The sequence below is a fragment of the Homo sapiens genome, chromosome X (assembly GCF_000001405.40).
Source record: "Homo sapiens chromosome X, GRCh38.p14 Primary Assembly".
Taxonomy (NCBI): Eukaryota; Metazoa; Chordata; class Mammalia; order Primates; family Hominidae; genus Homo; species Homo sapiens.
The window spans coordinates 5292936-5319862 of record NC_000023.11 but is presented as its reverse complement, the minus strand read 5'-3'; the positions used below and the strand labels follow the sequence as shown (position 1 = coordinate 5319862).

General features: G+C 36.0%; 2 pseudogenes, besides 1 other annotated feature; one reads left to right on the top strand and one right to left on the bottom strand.

Moving 5' to 3' along the window:
• Positions 12424-13623: an enhancer, noted in NCBI's record as "BRD4-independent group 4 enhancer chrX:5224281-5225480 (GRCh37/hg19 assembly coordinates)". NCBI's record gives its function as "activates an origin of replication core promoter dependent on BRD2, P300/CBP, MED14 and CDK7 cofactors, and independent of BRD4, by STARR-seq in HCT116 cells {active_cell/tissue: HCT116}" and the evidence as "EXISTENCE:reporter gene assay evidence [ECO:0000049][PMID:35650434]".
• Positions 12679-14349, top strand: HADHBP1 (HADHB pseudogene 1; annotated as a pseudogene).
• On the bottom strand, positions 12679-14678 carry LOC347381 (hydroxyacyl-CoA dehydrogenase trifunctional multienzyme complex subunit beta pseudogene; annotated as a pseudogene).

The window sequence follows — 26927 nt, the reverse complement described above, 5'->3', positions numbered from 1 at the left end:
ACCCTTATCTTATCTCCTGCTATATCATGGAGGTTTGGGGAGTTCCTTCAGACCCCCATAAACTTGTTTGTGGAGGTCTGGGGAGTTTCTTTACGTCCGTAAAGAAAAAAAACCTTGTTTCATCCTAAACAGGTCCTGTTAAAAATTCCTTCGTTATCTTGCCATGTTTCGAGGCCAAGCAAAGCCCTGGGCAGAACTCTTGGTGGGCTTTTGTTATATTCCAACTTTTGTATAAAGGTGCTGGCTCTTTCAGCTTTTAAGATTTAACTTCACCACTCGGTCAGTGCTGAAACAGTTGTTATGGAGGCCTGTGTTAGTGAGACCTGGCCTGTCACTAAACCAATGTATAATATCCGTGTATTGATTTAGGATGTTGCCTGTGACTTCTGCTTTACTGAAATGTACCCCTGCGTTTAAAACCCATTACTTGCAAGCCATCAGGGAGGTTGGGTGTGAAGTGTGACCTGCCCCATTCTCCTTGCTTGGTACCCTGCAAATAAATGCCCTCCTTTCTCTTGCTGCAAAACCACAGTGTGAATGTTTGGCCTTACTGTGCCGGTTAAGGAGACCCCAGATGGGTTCAGTAACATCACCAGCACTTTGCTGGAATCATAAAGACTGAGTACTCTTCAAGGTCAAGACTGCAGAGTCTCAGGGCTTGTCTGCTGCTATTTATAATATAAGCCTACTCACAGTCCCTTGCTTCCCATGCTTAAATCACGGAAGCAGAGACATTTGGGACACCAGGACAGAAATCTTTCAAATGCCAAATACTTGTAATTATCCACTTCTCACATGCTCTTTCCAAAACAAAAAGTCAAAATTTAAAAAGTGGTTGACATTCCCAATATAGATAGATTCCAAGTTTATCAGACGTGTCTCAAAAGATTAATCAGTGATTGCCTCATCTAATATGTCCATGAGGCTACAGTATTTTATTTATTTTTATTTTTCAAGGCATTTTCTTCATGATTCTTCTACTGTATAAAGAATTCTCCAAAAATAAAATAGAAGAGGGAAAAAGAAACCTCATTAAAATACAGGAAAGTTATTGTTTCAGTGATTCTCAATACGCATTAAATAAAAGAAAACTTGGCAGTTGAGCTTTGAAGAAGACAGGTGTTGAAAATATGCAACTTAGGCCGGGCATGGCTGCTCAGACCTGTAATACCAGAAATTTGGGAGGCCGAGGCGGGTGGATCCCCTGAGGTCAGGAGTTTGAGACCAGCCTGGCTAACATGGTGAAACTCCTTCTCTACTAAAAATACAAAAAGAAATTGGCCAGGCATGGTGGCAGGCACCTGTAATCCCAGCTACTCGAGAGGCTGAGGCAGGAGAATTGCTTGAACCCGGGAGGTGGAGGTTGCAGTGAGCCAAGATCGCACCATTGCACTGGGGGACAAGAGCGAGACTCCGTCTCAAGAACAAAACAAAACAAAAACAAACAAACAAAAAAGAAAATATGTGACTTCATTAAGCCAGAGATCAAATTAATTCTTGTAAAGGCAGTCCATTGAGGTGGCTAGGAAATACACGAAAGCAGGTGTTCGGTATTCAAAAAAAGACTTAGGCACAATTCTGTAAGTACAGTAGTTTTAAAATAACACATTATGAAATGTACAGTGTGTATTTTCAGGTTTTGTCCATCCATGTATCAAGATGCTGGCATAATTATATTGATCCCAAACATCAAACTACTTTAGAAAAATGAATTATTTAGGTGATGTCCTTTGATTTACTTGTGCTGATGAAAATAGACTTCATCTCAGTTTTTTTCCATCATGTCTCGGAATTACAATAATTTTATCTTTAAAGATAAGCAATCTGTACACTCTGAAATAATGGATGGATACCGAGGACATATGGTAGTTTACCTCATACTTCTTTCAGAAAATGAGTAAAATTACCAAATATTGTCCTGTTACATAAAACTTAGATTTATGTTGAAAAAGACAATATTTTCTCCTTCATAAACTCAGTAGCAGAGGGATATCGAAGAATCCTCAATAAAGTCATAAAGATTTACTTCTATAAGCACCGTCTCCTTTGAAAATGGCAAAGTAAAAATGCAACCAGAAAGAATATTAATGTCAATGAATAGAGATATTGAATGGAACTGGGCAAATAAAATTACATAACCTAAATTGACAACTTCCACAGGCCCTGGGGAATGGCTGTTCAAAATACACTGCCTACTTGCTTTTCCCCTTTCTTTTCTGTTGACTAACTTGCAGTAAACACTCAACCTTCTGTCTCACAGAGCCACACCATCTAGCCCCACTTTAGGAGATGTGGGTGGAATACCGGGGAGGGAGGCCCTTGGGAAAATGCCTTGCGTTTTTACTCTTTCTTCTTCCCTTTCTCCTTGAAATTCATAATCTGTGGACAGTCAGTACTACTCAGATGTTTGTATGTGGTTCTGTGGATAGATGCAATAGACAGATGAAATTAATAGACAGAAGATGGATAGATGGATAATAGAAAATATACATTAACAATAGATATAAAATATAGCTAATTGATGATAAATGATGGATGTATGATAGAAGATAGATAAATGAGAGATAGATGATGGATGGATTGATAGATAACAGAAATGCTATTTAAATAATAGATATGAATTTAGATAATTGAGGAAGGCAATAGATATAGCTAGATGATGAATGGATGGATAAATAAATGACAGAAAATATATTTAAATGATAGCTATGAATACAGCTTGTTGATAATAGGTAATTGATAAATAGATAAACAGGATAGCTAGGTAGTTGAGAAAGATAATAGAAAACATATATGAATAATATACATAAAATTTAGAATATTGATAAATATATAATGATAGATAAACGATGGATGGATGGAAGGTTAGATAATAGAAAACATATTTAAGTGATACCTATGAAATATAGATTATTGATGATAGATCATATTTGATAGATGAGATAGATGATGGATGATGGATGGGTAGGAGATAAAAAGGTAGATAAATAATAGACTTAAGAGACAGACTAGTACAATAGATGATATTCACATCTATATCTCTCTCTATGCAAACAAACATACACATACACACTATATGTGTATACACCTATCTATACACAAAGAATTTTTTTCTCTCTTTTTTTTTTTTGAGATGGCATCCCACTCACTCTATTGCCCATGCTGTACTGCAGTGGTACGATCTTGGCTCACTGCAGCCTCCACCTCCTGGGTTCAAGCGATTCTCCTGCGTCAGCCTCCTGAGTAGCTGGGATTACTGGTGCGCACCGCCATGCCCAGCTAATTTTTTTGTATTTTTAGCAGAGACAGGGTTTCACTATGTTGGCCAAGCTGGTCTCCAACTCCTGGCTTCAAATGATCCACCCGCCTTGGCCTCCCAAAGTGCTGGAATTACTGGAATGAGCCACTGCGCCTGGCCAATGTTTTTCTTATACACTTGGATCAAAAATTGTATGCATTTATAACATTTTCAGATCCCATTTCATTACTTGCTGTAAGGTTCTAGCATTGAATGTCTACCTATTTACTTAAAGATGTTTTCCCCTGCATCATTGCTATCTTTAAACCTTTTGAGCCTTGCAATACCGAATGCAGGAATAAAGTGGCCTGGTCTCAGTGTTTGTACAGGTGTTTGGATGGACCTGCCTGATGCACTATGAAGAAGCATTGCATCTCACCCGGTTTCCAAGAAGGTAGGGACTACCACAGTCACTACAAACAGGAAGGGAAAAAATAGGACTGTCCTGACAGATTCCTAGGGAAGTCAGCCTATCATCACTCAGGTTCAATGAAAGATAAAAATCTTTGTCTTCTTACAGGAAACATACAATCTCAGAATTTATGTATGTTTTTCCTGTTTGCATTTATTATTCATTTTGATTTATATTGTGTCACTTTTGTTTCATATTTGCCTTTCTTGGTTTTAAGTTTTACTGTAAGAGTAATTAAACAATTACTCCTTCTCATTAAATAATCTATTTGCCCATTCTCTTTTTTGTCTTTCATCTCTTTATACATTTATGAAATTCCCATGTATTCTATTCTTTTTTTTTGTTTTTTTTTTTTTGAGACAGAGTCTCGCTCTGTCACCCAGGCTGGAGTGCAGTGGCATGATCCAGGCTCACTGCAACCTCTGCCTCCTGGGTTCAAACGATTCTCCTGCCTCAGCCTCCCGAGTAGCTGGGATTACAGGCACGCGCTACCACACCCAGTTAATTTTTGTATTTTCAGGAGAGATGGGGTTTCTCTATGTTGGCCAGGCTGGTTTCAAACTCCTGACCTCAAGTGATCCTCTGGCCTTGGCCTCCCAAAGTGCTGGGATTACAGTCAGGAGCCACCACGCCCAGCCTATTCTATTCTTTTATGTTCATCTTGAATACTTAATTTTTTATAAGATGTATTTTTTATCACTGCTTTTGAAATTCTTATCTTCCCCTAGATTCAATCAAGTCTAGGCAAATCTTTTGTCAGGGTACACCGTCAAGAGATTGAATCAGTGGGGATGACTGAGGTGGTAGATTTTCAGAGAAGTTGGCTGTACTAGGTGTTTTCTTCACCTTCTAAAAAAATCATTGAATCCTAGCCATTGAACAGAATTCTAGCCATTGAACGTTCATTGCTGATTTTTATTTATGAACTTGAATCACATTCTCTCACTGTCTCCACTGATTTTCATTATGACTCTAATGTTTAATAATCTCATATGTGTTCTATGATAAGTATGATGCCACTATGATATTCTTGGTCTGGTAATCATCTTTTTATTTCTATATGAACCTTCTTAAAGTACATAATTTTTTTGTGGTGTTCAGAAATGTGAACTTGATATGTCAAAGAATGAGAATCATTTTTCTTCCATCTTTAATTTTATTGGTGTAAATGAGACTTTAGCAATTCCTTTTAATTCTGAAACATTCTTGTGGAAATAACTTTGCATCCATACTTGCCTTGGTAAAATCATATATTCTGTGAAGGAGAAGACAGTTCATTGCCAATATTTTAATACATCGATATGAGGTCTGCATGTGTAAGACATCTATTCTAAATGTCCCCCCTCATGATGGCTTGTCTCCACGTATTAATGTCAAATGAACCATCTAGACAAGGTGGTTTTGAGGGAATAGGATGATTTTGTTCCTACCAAAGAGAGCTGCCTGCATTTCTGTCTGCAGTAAGTTGTACTGTCACTATGGTGGTAACTAAGTGATTCGATTTTACACTTTTACAGTGGGTCAAATAGATGTTCACTACTCTTAAAAATACATCAATCCCTATTCATTATTTAACAGTCATGTTAGCTAAATCTTCAACTACTTGATATGCATTCAAATATAAAATCATAATGCATGCACTTATGCAAAGAATACGTGAAATTTTAAAATTTAATCCTAAAATCAACCTGGTAATTGTATTTATTTGATGATTACAGAAATTGAGACCCAGTGATTTCACGTTTACTAGTGTAAACATTTCAGAAGTGACGTGTAATTAAGAACCGAACAATGTATTACATGGTTTTTTATTAGGTTAATTACGTCATAAGTTTAATGTTTCAGGGGTTATTGCTGTTGTGTTAACTCTTTATACCATGAAAAATTGCTTGCAATACTCTGGTTTCTCTTCAGATCACATAAATCTTTTGCCTTTTAAAATTGCTTGAGATTGAAAACAAGAACAGGTTTTCAACCATTTAAACTTCTGACATAAGGAAACAAATTGCTCTTGTGATTACTGAAATTAGTCAGAATCAACAAAATATATGAGCAAAAAAAGCTATTTACATATATCTGTAGACATAGATGTAATATTTATATTTATATATGCATACCATGCTTCTTACAACTGTGAATCAAAGCTTCATTTACAATTTCTGATTCTGAGGGAGGCTAGGGATCAAAAAAATCTCAGACTTCACCACCATATAATTCATCCATGTAACCAAAAACCACTTGTACCCCCAAAAGCTATTAAAATTTAGAGAAAATAGGAAATAAAAATAAAATGTAAAAGTAAATTTTGCCTTCACTGTACCCACAATCAAAAATTAATTTCAGTAATTACATTAATCTGCACATTGCCATCTTTACAGGGATGAATTACGTAGAACTCAGTTAATTCTGTCCGTTAGTGTTAGATTTTTTAAATATTGTTTTCTCTGCATCCCAATGGCCCTCTCATCAGTTTTATTTTTAATCGATTTTTAAGTGAACTAGCATGTTTCATTTGAGACCAATGGTGGATCAGAAGAATAACATTACTTACCAGAATCTTTGGCATAAGCACATGGGCCATATCTGTGCACAGAAAAATATAGTGGGTTTCAAAGAGCAGAATATTTTCCTGAGCTTGTAAAGGCCTATTTTGTTCTCCAAATAAAGGTGTTTTATAGAGCAATGTATTAACCTTTTTTTTTGTCTTCTGGTTGACATGCATAAGTGTGTCAATATCGACTATTAGGAACCTATTTATAAACATTCAATCATGGGGTATTGTGTGAAGTAGCAGTGGCATGAGGTATCGAGTGGCATGGGGATTGAGTGCAGTGGCTCAATCGCAGCTCACTGCAGCCTCGATTTCCCAGGCTCAAGCGATCCTCCTGCAGCAGCCTCCCAAGTAGCTGGAATCACAGGTGTGTACCACCATACCTGACTAATTATTATTATTATTATGTATCGCTATATTGTCCAGGCTGGTCTTGTACACCCGGCCTTAAGCAATCCTCTTGCCTCAGCCTCCCAAGGTACTGAGATTACAGGCATGAGACACCACATCCTGCAAAGAAACGCTTTTAATTCAACTCAATTCAATAAGATTTTATAGAGTCTATACTCTGTGCCTAAAATGTCCCCCACCACTAAAAGATAAACCACTTCTGTGTAATGTAAAAAGATAGAAAGATGGATAGATAAGGTACATAGATAGATATGGGTAGGTATTTTAATGGGGAAGATAGATGATACGTAGGAATAGATGATAAATATAAATAGATGACAGGTAGATAAATTGATGATAAATAATAGATCATGATGATGGATAATAAATACACATACGTGGTAGATAAATATAGATATAGACCATAGATAAATAGATATTGCCTGTGTAATAATTAAAACAGCACATACTAAATTTTCAAGATATAATTACTAAATTAATGACAAACAAAAGCAACAATACATAATTGTTTCAATAGAAACTCTCATAAGTAAAGTTTAGCAGAATATTGATCAATTGCCTACCCACATACTCTGTCTCTAGGCAAGTAATATAAAGGGTTCTTCAAAGTGTAATTAACGTGAACCAAACTGCATTGTTAAATGTTTTACTTAAAAAGAAATTATTTTACCAAATATATTATGAATTCAATAATGATAAAAGTCATAATTGTGTTTCCAGTTTAATTAAAGAATACATCAAGAATCAGAGAAACTTAACGTGAGGGGAAACGTTGGAAATAATTTATTCTAACACTTATACTTAGATAGCAATTATTTTTAACTTTGGTCCCAGCTGTGACGGATTCATTGTTAAGAGTTTACAATGCTGAGTTGAGATGCATGAATCTGTCAAACTCAAGTTCCCTTGAAAAGAATGTGGTAGACTGATTTACTCCAGGCCTGTCTCGCTCATCAACATAGAAGTGAAATTACAGATACACATGTGTAAAAAAGGATTGCATAAAATACAATATTCATCATGACTACTTGAAGTTCATTTCAGGAGCGTACAATCTTTTTCTTAGTGCTGGAATATTTTTTAAAATATAATTCACCCTTATTAATATATAAACCATCATCTCAATAGATTCACTTATCAATAGATACCAACAAATCCATAAAATATTACAAATTTTCATGCACAGAACTCTCAGAAAACTGGAATTCAAAGGTCCTTTCTTAACGAGGGACAGACCACTAAGAAAACCTATAGCAAATAATGTTTGTTATATTTAAGATCAGGAAACATAATAATGCTTTTTATCAGACCTCTCTTCTGTATTTTGCTGGATAGAAGAGGACAGAAATAAGAGTTTTATGAATTGAAAAGGAGGAAAATGTCATTATTTATCAACCATATGATAATACATAGAAAAAAAATCCAGACAAATATACTGATAATTGGTCAAATCAATATTAGTATTTAATAGTGTTGTTGGATACAATATCAAATTTAAAAATCAGTTTCCTTTCCTTCAATAGTAACATCATTTAGAAAATGTAAATTAGCATATAATTTATAAAGGCAACAAACAAATTTACTTGACAAAATATAATTAGACTCAATAAATAATGATGTCAATTCTCTCCTAATTAACCTACTAATTCAATGAAATTTAAATAAAATTGCCAAAAGGATGTGTTGTAGAAATCGATAAGCTAATTAAAAAATTTATATAGACAGACAATTGCCTGACATATGCCAAGAAAATGTTTCTGGAAATGCTGAAGGTGGGAGATGTGTTCCATGAGATTTCATGCCTTATTACTAAATCTTAGAAGAGCAAAATATTGATGCTAGGATAGGTTTACCTATCACCAAAAACAAAGAGTGAACCCAAACAGATATTTATGGATACATAATTTATTCATTCATTCATGAATGAAGAAAGGTAAACCTTTTGGTAAAACATCCTTGTACAAATGATAAACTTTAAATAAATAATTAAATTTAAAAAATTACAGGTTTGCTTAGAGCTTGAAGCCAAATATTAGAACTTTAAAACTTAGGAGCATTAAAAACATCAAAAATTTCAAAGTGTTTGAAAATATCTTTATAACACTGGATGATTAAGTATATCAAAACCTGGGCCAGGCGCAATGGCTCACACCTATAATCCCAACACTTTGGGAGACTGAGGCTGGCAGATCACCTGAGGCCAGGAGTTCGAGACTAGGCTGGCCAGCATGTCAAAACCCTGTCTCCACTAAAAATGCAAACATTAGCCAGGCCTGGTGGCACACGTCTGTAATCCCAGCTACTCAGGAGGCTGAGGCAGGAGAATCGCTTGAACCTGGGAGGTGGAGGTTGCAGTGAGCCGAGATCAGGCCACTGAACTGCAGCCTGTGACACAGAGTGAAACTCTGTCTTAAAAAAAAAAAAAAAAAAAATATATATATATATATATATATATATATATATATATATGAAAAACTATAACCAAAAATGTAAAGTTTGATTTATTCAACTACATTAAAGTTAAAAATCCTGTCCATCCAATGTTAAAGTAGACTGACAGGTGAGGCATCCAATTCGGAGAATATATTTTCAATATATTTTACCAGCAAATATATCAACAAGATACGCACGAACACACATACCTATACTACAGTATAAATATTGGGAATATTTTAAACAGGTGGTTTAGAGAAAAGTTATCATTTAGGTCTTATAAAAATATGAAATCTTTAAAGTTCATTCATAAAAAATAAACATAAATTTCATTAACAATGAGGAATCATTTCTTACCCATATCGTTGGCCGAAACACTGAGCGACGTTGAGGCGTGGATCCATGTGAACCTTCTCTCATATCTTGGATTATAAATTCTCACCATGCTTTCAGAATAGTTTGCTGTCACTTTACAATGTCTATTCTAAAAATGAACAATAAATGAAGAATCCTACTTGAATGCATATGTCATATATACTCAGGAACTCCTTAGACCATGAAACACCTATAGGCATGTTTCTAACACCTTCTTTTGAAGGAGCTAGAAAATATAATATGCATCATGACCAATTGAAGTTCATTTCAGGAATGTACAATAGTTTTCTTAGTGCTTGAGTATTTTTAAAATATAATTCGCCTCTGTTAATATACAAACAATCATCTCAATATATTCACTTTTCTATAGATACCAAAAAACCAATAAAATATTGCAAATTTTCCTGCACAAAACTCTCAGAAAACTGAAATTCAAAGGAGCTTAGAATCCTGAAAAAAACTCAGAACATACACATGCTTATCAAAAAGAGAATGGATAATCATTTGTGTTAAATCAATTACACAGAAATACTACACTGCAATGAAGATCCCTAGGCTTCATGAATATGAATCAATATGGGTGAATCTCTGAAAAATATCATGTTCAAGGAAAGAACCCAAGGAAGACACTACAAACAGTAAGATTCTTTTACATAACATTCAAAATCAAGCAAAACTTAAGAATGTGTTCTCTAACAATAGAGTAGTGCTAGAAAACTTAGCATGAAATCAGTATAGTTGTCTCCTTTCATGAGTAAGGAAAGCATTGGTTGAAAACAGAAATCGAGTAGCATTCATTTACTTTTCCATTCCCTAACTCAGGGCCTCCTTCACAGGTGTATGGCCCCAAGCAATTGCAAAGGGTCCTGGGGTCAGAAGTGCCCCATGCTAGGGTTAGAGGTCTGCCACTGCTGTCTTGAAATTCTGAAAGAGTTAATCTTTGCATTTTTGTTTTGTACCTGGAGTGCAATGGACGAAGAGGCATGCATGCACGTGGTCAGAGGAGATATGCATCGTATGCAGTTCTGCCACTGTTCTTTGCTACCCAATAGCGTACAATGCTCATGAAGCCCCTTGAGCACAGAATTCTGCTGGACTGGCAATAGGGGGAATTCGGTGAGATTCACAGTGTGCACAAAGGGTGGCTGTTACTTCTACGACAAAGTGAGTGCTCTTGCAGCCCAGAGAGGCCATGCTTTGTGTCCAAGTTAGAACTTGCTTCAAATATAGAAAAGTGGCAATGACATTCTAAAAACAATCCAAGAACAAACAAAAACTCTATCCTATCTCCTATTCTTCTTGACACATCGGCCAACCACTTATGCTGAAAATGATGCCATAGAAGGGATGGGATGAGATGACAACCTGTGGCTCCCCTTCATTGCATGACTTCCTTACCATCAGTGAGCTGAAGGTACAGTGTTGCTAGAGTATGTCCATATCAAGAAGTGAAATAAAATCAGCTAAGTTCATTTTGTGTAGCACACTTCCCGTGTTGTGGTAAGAATGCAGTAGATACTTACGCATGTGCTACAAAATAACAGCTTGTGTAATTTCAGTGATTTCTGAATACATGTTAACTGCTCAGATATTGGAGTTCAAAATTGGCATTGCACAATATAAAGATAAAAATGGAAAACTATGCCAGTGACTAAATATTTTAATTTTTCCTTACTTAGAAAGACATCAAAAAGAAATTTATTTTTTAAAGACATGACAAGTTGAGAAAGAGTAGAAGAAAACGGGAAAAACAGCTTTATGTTTTAGTACTGTTAACAGTGCTATGAAATTGGCCAACTTTTTCTGGAGAGAGTCAAATAGTAAATATTTTCAGCTCTGTGAGTTATATAAACTCTGTTGCAGTAACTCAACTCTGCCATTGTAGCAAAAAAGCAGGCACACACAATACATAAATGAATGGGTATGGCTGTTTTCCGATAAAACTTTATTTATAAAAACAAGTGGTGAGCCGGATTTGGCCCATGGACCATAGTTAGTCCATGGATATGCTAAGGTAAGAAGTCCACTGTAAGACTTCTTAGCAATTCAAACAACATGAGGGGAAAATCTCCTACAACCTTAGGATTTTTTTTTAAACATTTCTGAGTTTCAGGCTAACCGGGCATTTGCATGATGCTGAACAGTAATTGTAGGTATCATATTTATGGCAATATTTTCAGTGTTTGGGAGTCACAGATGAAGGGATTGACTCAGGTAGTTCCAATATGGATCATTTAGTCTGTCTTCATGCTGCTCTTTGGGCAAAGCATAGGAAAAATACCAGCAGTCTAGTGATATAGAATTTCTGTTTCTAGTAGCTGTGGGGTTATAACTTTCAGAGAATTGTTTCTCTTAAAAAAAGACTTGAGAAAGTCACTCATAGCTATGGCCAGTGGCATGAATGTTTCATGCCCTCCAGCTTCAGAATCTAGACACTCTGTGCTTCTGTCATTTTAGTTCTATAGAAATACTGCAGTGTGATAGGAATACTGCATACAGAGATTGAGATTCAGGATAGTAAATCTCTATGCCTAGTGTAGTTTTGCTTTTGCTAAGGGGAAGAGTAAAACATATGGGTGTGTAAAACTCACCAGTGACAGCATCAACTGTTTTTTTTTTCTTTAGGAATTCAGACCTCATGAAAGGGTCAATGAAGAAATGATGTTTTGATTTCCCAACAGGATTACCCAACATTTCTCTGACAGTACCTGCCAGTTACTTCTTCCCTAAAGATTTCTGCTGCCCAGAGAAAGTCTCTAGTTTAGCCAGAATTTCTCTATAATATCGTTGGTGTTGCCCCATGGGTTTTAGCTAAGCAGTATCCATCTTGTGCAAGAGAGGCTCGTCAGGGCAACTTCCTGAACAATAAGCTGAGATGATCATGGGGGAAGGGGATTAATGAAGGACTGTTACAGAAATAAAGAAAAAATCTGCAGTAGAGCAACAACTCCAACCCTTGCTGGAAAGTTTCAGTCAGACACTGACATTTCCAAAGTGCCCATAAATCAACTTTTAATATACTGTGGATGCATAGAGGAGGCTGTCCATATGTTTCTTTTTTGAAGTTTTAGGCATTATTTTTTTCAGTGTGAAGAAGCTGTAACCTTAATAAGTTCAATAAAACAGAAATATACATAAGTACTGCTAATAAAATGACTAGGCCAATTTTGAAATGTAAACTTAAAATGTAAAATCACGGGATCTGAGCCTTGCTCAGAGTAGGAGTCCATGCGGACATCGGCTAAGATTCCAGAATGACTACCGTCTTGACTTACACTTTTAAAAAGTGCACTTCTGATGCACTTCTCACTGCATCAGAATGGTCCCTCAGATTTTCCATAAGACCTCTGAGCTATTCCTCCCAGTTGCGAGCTGCCCAGCCATCCAGACCGAAACGAGGAAGACATTAGCCAAACCCAATATAAGGAATATTGTGGTGGTGGATGGTGTTCGCACTCCATTTTTGCTGTCAGGCACTTCGTATAAAGACCTGATACCACATGATTTGGCTAGAGCAACACTTACGGGTTTGTTGCATCAGCCCAGTGTCCCCAAGGAAGTAGTTGATTATATCATCTTTGGCACAGTCATTCAGGAAGTGAAAACAAGCCATGTGGCTGGAGAGGCTGCCCTTGGAACTGCCTTCTCTGACAAGACTCCTGCTCACACTGTCACCATGGCTTGTATCTCTGCCAACCAAGCCATGACCACAGGTGTTGGTTTGATTGCTTCTGGCCAGTGTGATGTGATCATGGCAGGTGGTGTCGAGTTGATGTTCCATGTCCCTATTCGTCAGTCAAGGAAAATGAGAAAACTGATGCTTGATCTAAGTAAGGCCAAATTTGTGGGCCAGTGACTGTCTTCAATCTCTAAATGCCAATTGAATTTCCCAGCACCTGAGCTCCCTGAGGTTTCTGAGTTCTCCACCAGTGAGACCACGGGCCACTCTGCAGACCAATTGGCTGTTTCTCGACTGGAACAGGATGAATATGCACTGCGCTGTCCCAGTCTGGCCAAGAAGGCACAGGATGAAGGACTCCTTTCTGATGTCGTACCCTTCAAAGTACCAGGAAAAGATACAGTTACCAAACATAATGGCATCCGTCCTTCCTCACTGGAGCAGATGGCTAAACTAAAACCTGCATTCATCAAGCCCTACGGCACAGCGACAGCTGCAAATTCTTCTTTCTTGACTGATGGCGCATCTGAGGCAGAGGAAAAGGCTCTGGCAATGGGTTATAAGCCGAAGGAGTGTTTGAGGGATTTTATGTACGTGTCTCACAATCTGAAAGATCAACTATTATTCAGACCAACATATGCGACTCCAAAAATTCTAGAAAAGGCAGGATTAACCATGAGTGATATTGATGCTTTTGAATTTCACAAAGCTTTCTCAGGTAAGATTTTAGCTAATTTTAAAGCCATGGATTCTGATTAGTTTGCACAAAATTACATGGGTAGAAAAAGCAAGGTTACATTGCTTCCTTCGGAGAAGTTTAATAACTGGGGTGGATCTCTGTCCCTGGAACACCCATTTGGAGCTACTGGCTGCAGGTTGGTCGTGGCAGCTGCCAACAGATTACGGAAGGAAGGAGGCCAGTATGCCTTAGCGGCTGCCTGTGCAGCTGGAGGGCAGGGCCATGGTATGATAGTGGAAGCTTACCCAAAATAATAGATCCAGAAGAAATGACCAGGAGTTTCTGTGCAACACTAACACTAGGCAACGGCATTTCAGTGCATTCCTAAATGACATTTATAGTTCCTAGCTCCTGTTAGGAAAACGATTCTTGTGGCCTTCTGTTAAATGCTTTGCACTTAAGCCTTGCCAGTGTTCTGAGCTTTTCAATAATCACAGTTTACTGCTCTTTCAGGGATTTCTAAGCCACCAGAATCTCACACAGACGTGTGTAGGTGGTTGTTTTTGTTCTCTCTTGTCACTAAAGACTAAATGAGTGCTTGCAATTGGGAAAGAGGTCAGCTGAGATTCGGAAATCATCTTTGTAATATTTGCAAATTATACATGTTCCTATCTGTATCCTAAAGAAAATTGTTCTCTATAAAATACAAACAAATTTCCCTAAATTAACTTAATTCTGGAAAAATAATTCAGAATCTAAACATCACTGAAAACTTATAAAAAATGTTTAGATACATAAATATCATGGTGGTCAACCTTAATAAAGTGGGGAAATATTGGAAAAAATGTAAAAACACACATATATATGTTAAAGTTATGTACATATATAAATTTATATGTTTATATAAAAATTAGTATATATAAAGTTTAAGTATATTATGCATATTTACATATACTTATATACACTTTTATATAGTACATAAATGAATATCCACCTCCATATTTAAATTACATCTTTAGGCTGGGCATGGCAACTCATGCCTGTAAATCTCAGCACTTTGGGAGGCCGAGGCGGACGGATTGCTGGAACTCAGGAGTTCGAGACCAGCCTGCGCAACGTGGCAAAACCCTATCACTACCAAAAATACAAAAATTTTCCAGGCGTGGAAGCTTGTGGTCCCAGCTCCTCGAGACAGAGGCTGAGGTGGAGAATTGCTTAAGCCCCAGAGGTCTAGGCTGCAGGGCGCCCAGATCATGCCACTGCACTATAGCCTAGACCACAGAGCAAGACCCTGTCTCAAATAAATAAATAAAATAAAATATCTTACATCTTTATATATGTACCTGGTTTTGTTTAGTAAAATTATTGTATATATGTATATAATAATATATACAGTATACTTATATATCACTGCATTAGTCCATTTTCATACTGCTATAAAAAGATACCTGAGACTGGGTACTTTATAAAGGAAAGAGGTTTAATGACTCAAAGTTCCGCGTGGCTGGGGAGGCCTCAAGAAACTTACAATCATGGCAGAAGGTGAAGGGGAAGCAAGGCACGTCTTCTCACGGCAGCGGGAGCGAGAGAGAGCAAGGAAGTGCCACAGTTTTAAACCATCAGATCTCATGATAACTCACTCACTATCACGAGAACAGCAATGGGGAAATCCGCCCCTAGGATCCAATCATTTCTCACCAGGCCCCTCCCTGGACACATGGGAATTACAATTCCAGATGAGATTTGGGTGGGGACACAGAGCCAAACCCTATCAATCATATATAATTACATTTATTTATATATAAACTTGTATACATGTACACATACATATTTATATATACACTTGTATATACATACATATACATTTATATATTTACATAAAAACTTGTATACATATAAATTGATATACAGATGGTCTTTGACTTAGGATGGTCCCATTTACAATTTCCGGACTTCACGGTGGTGTGAGAACAATATGCATGCAGTGGAAAGTGCTGTTTTCCTCTCTTACCAGGCTGGACAGCAGCAGGGAGCCAGCTCCCGCTCATCCCTGCAATCAGAAAGGTTCACAGCCAACATTCTACAGTGTTCTGTGTTGCCAGAGGAGTTTGCTCCACTATAGGCTATGTAAGTGCTCTGAGCATGTTTCAGGGAGGCTGGGCTAAGCTATGATGTTTGGCAGGTTAGGCATATTCAATGCATTTTCAAATTACGATATTTTCAAGTTGCTATGGGTTTACTGGGATATAACCCCATCATAAGTTAAGGAGCATTTGTACCTAAACTTGTATTGATGTGTGTGTGTGTGTATATATATGTATATATATATATATATATATATATATATGGTGTGTGTGTATATATATATATATGGTGTGTGTGTATATATATATATATGGTGTGTATATATATATATGGTACATATATATGCTACATATATATGGTACATATATATGCTACATATATATGGTACATATATATGCTACATATATATGGTACATATATATGCTACATATATATGGTACATATATATGCTACATATATATGGTACATATATATGCTACATATATATGGTACATATATATGCTACATATATATGGTACATATATATGCTACATATATATGGTACATATATATGCTACATATATATGGTACATATATATGCTACATATATATGGTACATATATATGCTACATATATATGGTACATATATATGCTACATATATATGGTACATATATATGGCACATATATATATGGTACATATATATGGCACATATATATATGGCGTATATATATGGCACATATATATACGGTACACATATATATGGTACACATATATATGTACCATATATATATGGCACATATATATGGCACATATATATGGTACATATGTATGGCACATATATATGGTACACATATGTATGGTACATATATATGGTACATATATGTATGGTTCATATATATGGTACATACATATATATGGTACATACATATATGGTTCATATATATGGTACATACATATATATGGTACACACATATATGGTTCATATATATGGCACATACATATATATGGTACACACATATATATGGCACATATATATGGTACACACATATATATGGCACATATATATGGTACACACATATATATGGCACATATATATGGTACACACATATATATGGCACATATATATGGTACACACATATATATGGCACATATATATGGTACACACATATATATGGTACATATATATGGTACACACATATATATGGTACATATATATGGTACACACATATATATGGTACATATATATGGTACACACATATATATGGTACATATATATGGTACACACATATATATGGTACACATATATGGTACACACATATATATGGTACACATATATGGTACATACATATATATGGTACACATATATGGTACATACATATATATGGTACACATATATGGTACATACATATATATGGTACACATATATATGGTACATATATATAACTTGGATCTGTGCATATTTTATATGTTTGTGAACATTTATATACACATTTTTATATCAATACATACATTTATATAAACATTTACCATATACAGTTGACCCTTGAACAACACAGAGGTAAGGAACAACTCGCCGTCCCACTCCCACATGTATTTGAAAATCCATGTATAACTTTGACTCCCCCAAAACTTAACTATTAATCGCCTACAGTTGACTGGAAGCCTTACCGATAACGTGAACAGTCAATTAACACACATTTTATACATTATATGTATTATATACGGTATTCTTACAATAAAGTAAGCTATAGAAAAGAAAACGTCATTAAGAAAATCCTAAGGAAGAGAAAATATACTTATTATTCACAATGTGGAAGTGGATCACCCTAAAGGCCTTCATCCCCATCATCTTCACGTTGAGTGGGCCGAAGAAGAGGAGGGAGAGGAGGTGGTCTTGCTTTCTCAATGGTGGCAGAGGTGGGAAAAAAACCAAATATAAGTGACTCACACAGTTCAAACCCATGTTGTTCAAGAGTCAACTGTATATGCATATACACACACATACATACACATTTATATTTAAATTATATATTTATATATATACCTAATTGTGTTTGGTAAAATTAATTTTGTTACACTCTTAAATTTTTTGTTATTTGCATTTCTTCTCTATGTTTCAACATTTCAAGCCACAAAAAATAGACACAATATTCTGACTGAATGATTACAATATGGGCATCCAGGTAGTTCTGTTTAGACAGTTTCTAAACCACCAGCTACACAGACACATCTTATAGAGCTGCCATCTAAAAAGGAGATACACTAGATTATTTTTATGTCATTAATTGATACACAACACAGGCATTTGTCCCCAAGGGCTTCCTCTGTCATAGGATGTTTACTCAATTTATGTGAACAAATTCCAATTTGCAGTGGAGTGCCCTAGAAGCCAAACAGAATGCAATGAATTTTAAATGTCGCTTGCTTGATGTTCTTAATTTGGAAAATATTTAAAGGATGTGCACTGTTACAGTAATGAGTATGTGTGTGTGTATATATATGTGTGTGTGTATACATGTGTGTGTCTGTGTGTGTATATAAAATAAATGTCATATACACCTACATATAAATGTATATATTCATTTGCTTTAGTGCTTTTTATTACATAAAGTGATTATTGGTAAAGTTGAAGTTTACCAAGTGAAGTTTGTTGAATGCAACAAACCACCACCACCTTGGCAGCTATAGGGAGGTGATTGTCATCAAACAAACCTCAACTTCACCAAAAAATCATTTTATTTAATAAAAAGAATTAATGTAAATTTCATCTTTTAAAAATTCTAGGTTAAGGAGGCATCTTTGATCTCTATTTTGTTCAAGGGTCATCTGTATATGTTAAATGTTTATTAAAATGTTTAATATTGATGTAAAAAATGTATATAAATGTATATGATATTTTTTATTTATATATACACACATATATACACACATACTGATTACTATAATAGTGCACACGTACATATTGATATAAAATGTATATACAATTGTATATAAATGTATATGACATTTGTTTTATTTATATATACACATATATACAACATGCTAATTTACAGTAACAGTGCACATGTATATATTGATATAAAATGTATATATAAACATATGTAAATGCATATGACATTTGTTTTACATATATACACACACACATAAACACACACATATTAACTACTGTAACAGTGCACACCTTTTAAGTATTTTCTTCCAAATTAAGAATATCAAGCACACTATATTTATAATTCACTCTATTCTATTTGCCTTCTAGGGCACTCCATTGCAAATTGAAACCGATTCACAAAAACTTATGAGAGAGAAAGCCATTGAGGACAAATTCCCAAGCTGTGTATCAATTAATTATATTCTCACTATGTCTTCCAAAGTACATTTTTATATTGTCACTAAAAATACATGTATCACTAAATAATACCTAGTGAATATTTTTAAAATTTACATTAGAAGTACATTATTGTATAATCTTTTTGTAAATTATTTTATTATCCTTTTAGTTATGCATAGGTTGAGCCAATTTGTGTAACTGTGATATAGCTGGTATGCACACACTAGGAGTTATTAACACTTAATTACTCCCTTTCTGCTTGATCATTTCCACTTTTCCTCTTTTACAAACAATATGGCAAGAAACAAAGTTATCAATGCTTCTTTGTGTATATATGTGAGCTGTTCTTTGGGAGTATTTTTTTAGTGCTCTTTATAAATATTAAACTTATTTGCCTTCAACAAAACTCTAATTGCCCTAATTCATAAAATGAAAATCTAAAGCCTAGTTACTAAATTGCTCAAATCACACAGCTAGCAGGAAAAAAAGCTGAGATCAAACCCAGCCTGTCTGTCCCCAAAACCCTAGTAATTAAACGTGTCCTGCCTTCTCAAAGGTATTGTTGAGTAACATATGCGATTGGAGGCTTTCCATTTCATTAGACAATACCAAAAGGCTTTTCCAAATTGGGTACAGATTCCCTTTTGCTACAATTCCCCAACAATGAATACAGCAGACATTTGAATTTTTGCTAAGCTAATGGCTGTGAAATTCCATTTCTTTGTTTTAATTTTTCATGGCTTTGATTTCTGGTGGAATGGAATTTAATGGCCTATGTTTATTGATCTTTCAGATTTTCCCCATTAAGGGGAATTAGGCTTGCTTTGTTTTGTTTGTTTGTTTTAAGACCAAGGGACTGGAGTTCCCGTCACCCACCTTAATTTAGTATTTGGATGTGTTTATTTGTTTGTTTCAGACAGTCTAGCTCTGTCACCCAGGCTGGAGTGTAGTGGCACGATCTCGGCTCACTGCAACCTCCACCTCCCTGGTTCAAGCAATTCTCCTGCCTTAGCCTCCTGAGTAGCTGGGATTACAGGCACCTGCCACCACACCCAGCGAATTTTTGTATTTTTAGTAGAAACGGGGTTTCACAATGTTGGCCAGGCTGGTCTCAAACTCCTAACCTCAAATGATCCACCCCCCTCGGCCTCCCAAAGTGCTGGGATTACAAGCATGAGCCACTGCGCCTGGCCTAGTATTTGGTTTTATTTTAATTGAATGATTGAGTCAAAATGAAATTTGACAATGATACATATTTACTTTTATTTTCTAATTAAATGTGGCTATTTCACCAGGTGCTCAGCTTGATTCCCAGAAGAAATGGGAAAGCTTTGTGGAAATATGAGAACAAGGCAGTGACAATCTCATTTTGCTTTGTTGAATGCTGACACAAGATAGATAGTACCTACTTTTAAATTTAATTTCCCTCATACTTGTCAGTAAAAAATGTTTCTTATGCTTGAAAAGTTCCTTGCCAGAATATGTCATTTGTGAAGGTGCAAACCTTCTTATAAAATCGGCACCTCAGCATCATACTTGCATAATCATGTCACCCCAGGAAAAGCTTTAAAGCTGTGAGAAATGCTATTTTACTTACCAACTACAAAACTTGAATGGCATAAATTGAAACCATTTATATGTATACAGACACACACACACACACACACACACACACACACATATAAAACTCCTACTCCTTTTATTCTTAATTTTATTTATTTATTTATTTATTTTGAGACAGAGTATCACTCTGTTGTCCAGGATGGGGTGCAGTGGCATGGTCTCCGCTCACTGAAGCCTCTGCCTCCCGGGTTCAACTGATTCTTGTGCTTCAGCCTCCAGCGTAGCTGGGATTACAGGCATGTGCCACATGCCCGGCTAATTTTTGTATTTTTAGTAGATATGGGGTTTTGTCATGTTGGCCAGGCTGGTGCTGAACTCCTGGCCTCAAGTGAACTGCCTGCCTCAGCCTCCCAAAGTGCTGGGATTATAAGCGTGAGCCACCTCACCCAGCTTCTACTCCTTTTAAAACACTGCATTTACCCATTTGGTACCTTAGATGTAAATGCTATCAAGGACTGTTCATTTTCAAGCAGTCCTAGACAGTCCTATATAGCATTTATATTATCTATAATATAAATATAATATATAATATTAAGATCATATTTATATTTATAATATATAACTGTTATAATTATATTTATAATATATTATATAAATATTATTTATACATTATAAAAATATATTTATATTTTATATTATAGATAATATGAATATTATATTTATATTCTCTATTATAGAGAACATATATTATCTATAATATTTATATTATAGATAATATAATTACAGTCCAAGTAACTGGGAATACAGGGGTAAACTATCATGCCTGGTTAATTAAAAATTACTATTATTATTTATATCTATAAATAGATAATATAAATATAATAGATAGATGTAAAAATAGATCTATATTTATAGATAATATTAATATTAATATTATATTCATATTTATATTATCTATATTTATAGATAATATAGATACACATCAATAATTAAGAAAAGGATTATTTTAGGAATGTACTAATACTATAAAAATAATAGTCTTGCAAATAATTGCTCATAAATCTGGAACCTTATTTAATCTTCTTAGCTTTCATTTGAAAGCTGTGTTTGTCTGTGTCCTGTGTGTGTGTGTTTTCCGGTTCTATTTTTGTGTACAGATCACCTCTGTCTCAGTCTGCTTTGCTTTGCTATAAAGAAATACCTGAGCCTGGGTAATTTATCAATTTATAAAGCCTGGTGTTTACCTGACTCACGATTTTTCAGGCGGTATAAGAAGTCTTTTCTTCTTGTAAATACCTCCGGACGCTTCCAATAACGGCAAATGTGAAAGGGGAAATGGAGGGTCACATGCGAGGGAGGGAAAGACAGAGGAAGAGGGGTGCCATGCTCATATGAACTATACAGTAGGAACTCACTCATTCCCAGGGGCACCAAGCCATTCATGAGGAATCCACCCCCATGACAAAAACACCTCCTGCCGGGCCCCACCTGCAACATGGGGATCAAATTTCAATATGAGTTTTGAAGGGTCAAATATCCAAACTATATTGACCCCTAACTTAGTCTTGTAGAACAGCAATCGTTTTATTATGCTAACGATTCTGTGCTTTAGGGACACTGAAAGGGTTCATTGCGTATGGCTGTCTTGGCCCATGATGTTTGGAATTTACAAAGGTAGGGAGGTCACTCTGGCTGGGGAATAGAATGAAGTGAAGGTTTCATGACTCCTATGTCTGCGGATGGATGCTGGCTCAGTAACGGCTCTCAGATGGAATGTATGAGGCACCTCCAGGAAGATGCTTGGGCTTCATTTACAATCCAGCCTCAGAATGTACACAGTGTCACTTCCTTTGGTTTCACAACCTTGCTCAGATTCCAGAGGAGAGAGCATCTTTTTTTTTTTTTTTTTTTTTTTGAGACAGGGTCTTGCTCTGTCTCCTAGACTGGAGTGCAGTGGTTTGATCATGGCTCACTGCAGCCTCAACCTACTGTACTGAAATGATCCTCCCCCTTCAGCCTTCCAAGTAACTGGGACTACAGGGATGAACTACCGTGCCTGGGTAATTTAAAATTATTATTATTATTGTGTAGAAACAAGTTCTCACTATGTTGTCTAGGCTGGTCTCCAACTCCTGGCCTCAACAATCCTCCTGCCCTGGCCTCCCAAAGTGCTATTATTATAGGCCTGAGCCACCACACCAGCCGGGAGCATCATTTGTCTGAAAAGAATCTTAAAGCTTTAAAGTCGCTCTATATGAAGGGCCTGTGGATTGGGAGAAATTCTCTGAACATCTCTGATAAATACAACTGATCACAGGGAATATGTTTGTGAAGTTTTGAAAAATGACTTTCTTTGAGACATGCATGTGATTCTAACATTGTGATTTCCTTCAGCTAAACCAGCAAATTGTTCTGTTCAGAAAAAAGTACATAATGATAGATAATCTGTAACACTATAAAATAGTGGTAATTTTTCCTCTTATGATGTCAAAATTTCTTCAAGTAAAGGATAGTCTTATAGAAATAGTGCCCTATCATTTATTCTGTATTATTATGTGTCCCTTGGTTGAAATTTACAAGGAAGAAATTTCTCCATTACAATCACATGCTTGTTTTAGCAGACTATTGCAAACCTTTGTTTCAAACTGAGAAATCAATCTTAACAAAATAATATGAAATAAGCATGAAATGTTAAAGCCGGAAAAAAAAGGCCAATGGATTTTTCATAATGAAAAATAAGAAAAAAGTTAGGCAATGAATACTTTTTTTGTTTGTTTTTGAGACAGGGTCTCGATCTGTGGCCCAGGCTGGAGCACAAGTGGCGTGATCACGGTTCACTGCAGCCTTGACATCCGGGGATCAAGCAATCCTCATTCCTCAGCCCCCCAAGTAGCTAGAGCCACAGGCACATGCCACCAAACCTAGCTAATTTTTTAAAATAAATTATTTGTAGAGATGAGGTGTCACTATGTTGCCTAGGCTGATCTCAAACTCCTGGCCTCAAGCGAACCTCCCACCTTCGTCTTCCAAATTGCTGGGATTACAGGTGTGAGCCATCATCCTTGGCCAGCACTAATTTTAATATTATCACCATGTTTCCTCTCTGTAGGAAACGTTTGCCTAACCCAGACACAGCATCAACATTTCTTAAAAAAAAAAAAAAGTCAATCTATACTGTCTTCAATATGGGCAGAAATACCCAAATGGTCTAGACAAAGAGCTCACTTATTAAAGAATATCCTATTATTGGAAAGAACAAACATTGAGCTAACATGGAAAAGAATCCCATTCGGTTTTGAAGTTAGATGGTATTTAAGGAAACGATTAACCACATTATACATAGGGGAAGCCAGAGTTCTTAGTGTGGAAAAAAGGGAGACACAAATACGTCCTATTATAATGAGGAAAAGCCCAAGACAAGGAAACAGTGTGCAAGGTACAAAAAGTGTGATTTTGACACCCATCAGATGCTGACGTTCTTGGAGTGATTCAGAGAACAGGAAAAGCAAATGATGGATTTGGCTGCATCCGTTTTCTCCTTCCTAGCCTTGGTTTTTGTTTGACTTTTGTTTTTGTTTTTACCAAAATCAAACTCTCTGATGTCAGTCCCTCCTAATTCCACCTGGGAAATGCTGTTCATGGATTTAGTATCCAGTTAAGAGGCAATGTGATGGCTGGGGATGTTGTCCAAGGCTGGCACCGAGATATCAAAATCCATATCCTACCTGGATTCCTGGGTGCTGTTTTACCGCCTCTTCTCTCTTTAGTGTTCTCATCTATAAGTTCAGCCCAACCAAATTTCTCCCTCATCAGCTTGTGGTGATAATTTATTTCTTATTTTATTTTATTTTATTATTTTATTTTATTTTATTTTATTTTATTTTATTTTATTTTATATTTTATTTTATTTTTAGAGACAATGTCTCGCTCTGTTGACCAGGCTACAGTGCAGTGGCACAATCAGAGCTCACTGCAGCCTCGACTTCCTGAGCTCAAGCGATCCTCCCATGTCAGCCCCCCAAAGTAGCTGGGGCTGCAGAAGCGCACCACCATGCACAGCTGATTTTTTTATTATTATTATTTTTTGTCGAGACAGAGTCTTGCTGTGTTGCCCAGGCTGGTCTCAAACTCTTGGCCTCAAGTGATCCTTCCTCCTTTCTCTCCCAAAGCAGTGGGATTACAGGCATAAACCACCGCACCTGGCCAGCTCCTAGTGATGATTATTCTCCTAATTGATGCTTTAAAGTGCCTGACACATAGTAAACCTTCCAGTCATGTTGTTTGTTATTACTCCTATAGTTATTTGTATTGTTATTTGTGCCATTTGTTTTTCTTCTACTTTAGGCCTTGTTCTTCAATTACAAAACAAATGCCATTTCATGTTAAAGAATTTCAAAGCATTGGTGAGATGACACTTGATTTCCTCAATAGATATCAAAGAAATAATATATATTTATATAATCATATGAAATAATGCATTTCTTTAAAATAGCTGCTTCAGAATTCTGAAAAAGCTACCTTTTATGTAAGAGAAAGTTTTATAGAAGTGGTGAAATTAAGTTGGATAGTAAAAAAGAAAAAAAAAGAACGCATTTTTAGTAAACTCACATAAAAATTCCAACTGGCAACATTTAAAATATTTAGGATTAAACATATAACTCTAAACACCTAAAATGTACAGAATATGTTTAATGCTGATTGTAAAATGTTATGATTTTCCAAGTGGTTGGCATTAAAATGTTTCACCATTAAAGTCATTCATTTATGTGTTCCTCCTTGTGTCCAAAGTTTGAAAATAATTAGCTGCAATGCAAAAACATGAATCAATTTCATTTTTCTTTATCAAATGTATGTAAAACAGAAGACAGGAACTCCTGTTATTAATGAGACTACTACTACTGAATTGTTACAGTTGTAGACAAAAAGCACAGGGAATTGATGGTATTGCTAGTTTCAGGAAAATTTTTTTAAAAATCATTTGTGATTGTTAATTCCACAGATAAAATGCTATTCCCTTTCTTTCAAATCATCACAAAAAATACACCATGCAATTTACTGTTGAAGGCAAGTACATTTGAGACAGGTCTGTTCTCAGTCTGCTATTTCCTAACACAATAGTTATTGAAATGCAAGAAAAATCAATGTTAGGAGAAGCAGTAGCCTTTCATTTCTGCAGTGCTTGATTCTACTGCTATCACTCTTCTTTGTGTCAATACACAGGGAGGGCGTCTTAGTCCGTTCTCACATTGCTATAAAGAAATACCTGAGACTGGGTAATTTATAACGGAAAGAGGTTTAATTGACTCACGGTTCCACATGGCTGGGGAGGCCTCAGGAAACTTACAATCGTGGCAGAAGGCAACGGAGAAGCAAATACCTTCCTCACAAGGTGGCAGGAAAGAAAGGGAGCGTTTGAAGGAGAAACTGTCAAACACTTATAAAACCATCAGATCTCATGAGAACTCACTTACTATCATGAGAACAGCATGGGAGAAACCACCTCCATGATCCAGTCACCTCCCACCAAGTCCTTCCCTCAACATGTGGGGACTATGGAGATTACAGTTCCAGATGAGATTTGGATGAGGACACAGAGACAAACCATATCAGAGGTGTTAACTATGAGCAACAATGACCCAGATAGCTCATTAATTTAAAAAACACAAAACTGATGCTTCCATATGCTTATTCCAGGAAAATACGATTGTTTCACCTCAAGAGTTGTAAGGCTATTTAATATGCATATACACATATATTTAATCACATTTTTTCACGTATGTGCATGTATGATGACACACATACACACACATGTAAATCCACCTTCCTTTCTCATGCTACAAGTTCAAATTAATAAAGCTTTGATGTCATGTTTTTATGACATGTTTATTTGCCAATTCCTCTGTGTGTGTGTGTGTATTTATATGTAAGTGTGTTTTCCTGTGTCTTTGGGTGTGTTTCTTGTTATTCTTCCTCTGCTTTTTAAATTGCACCTTGTTCCAACATTATTCTTTTGAATCTAATGCATCTCAGGTCCCTCTGAAGCCTGCAATTAGAACTGGATGTGGTTGCCTTAGGAAGGGGAGATTTATTCAAGATTTCCAAATTGCATAGCCAAGGGAACAGAGAAAA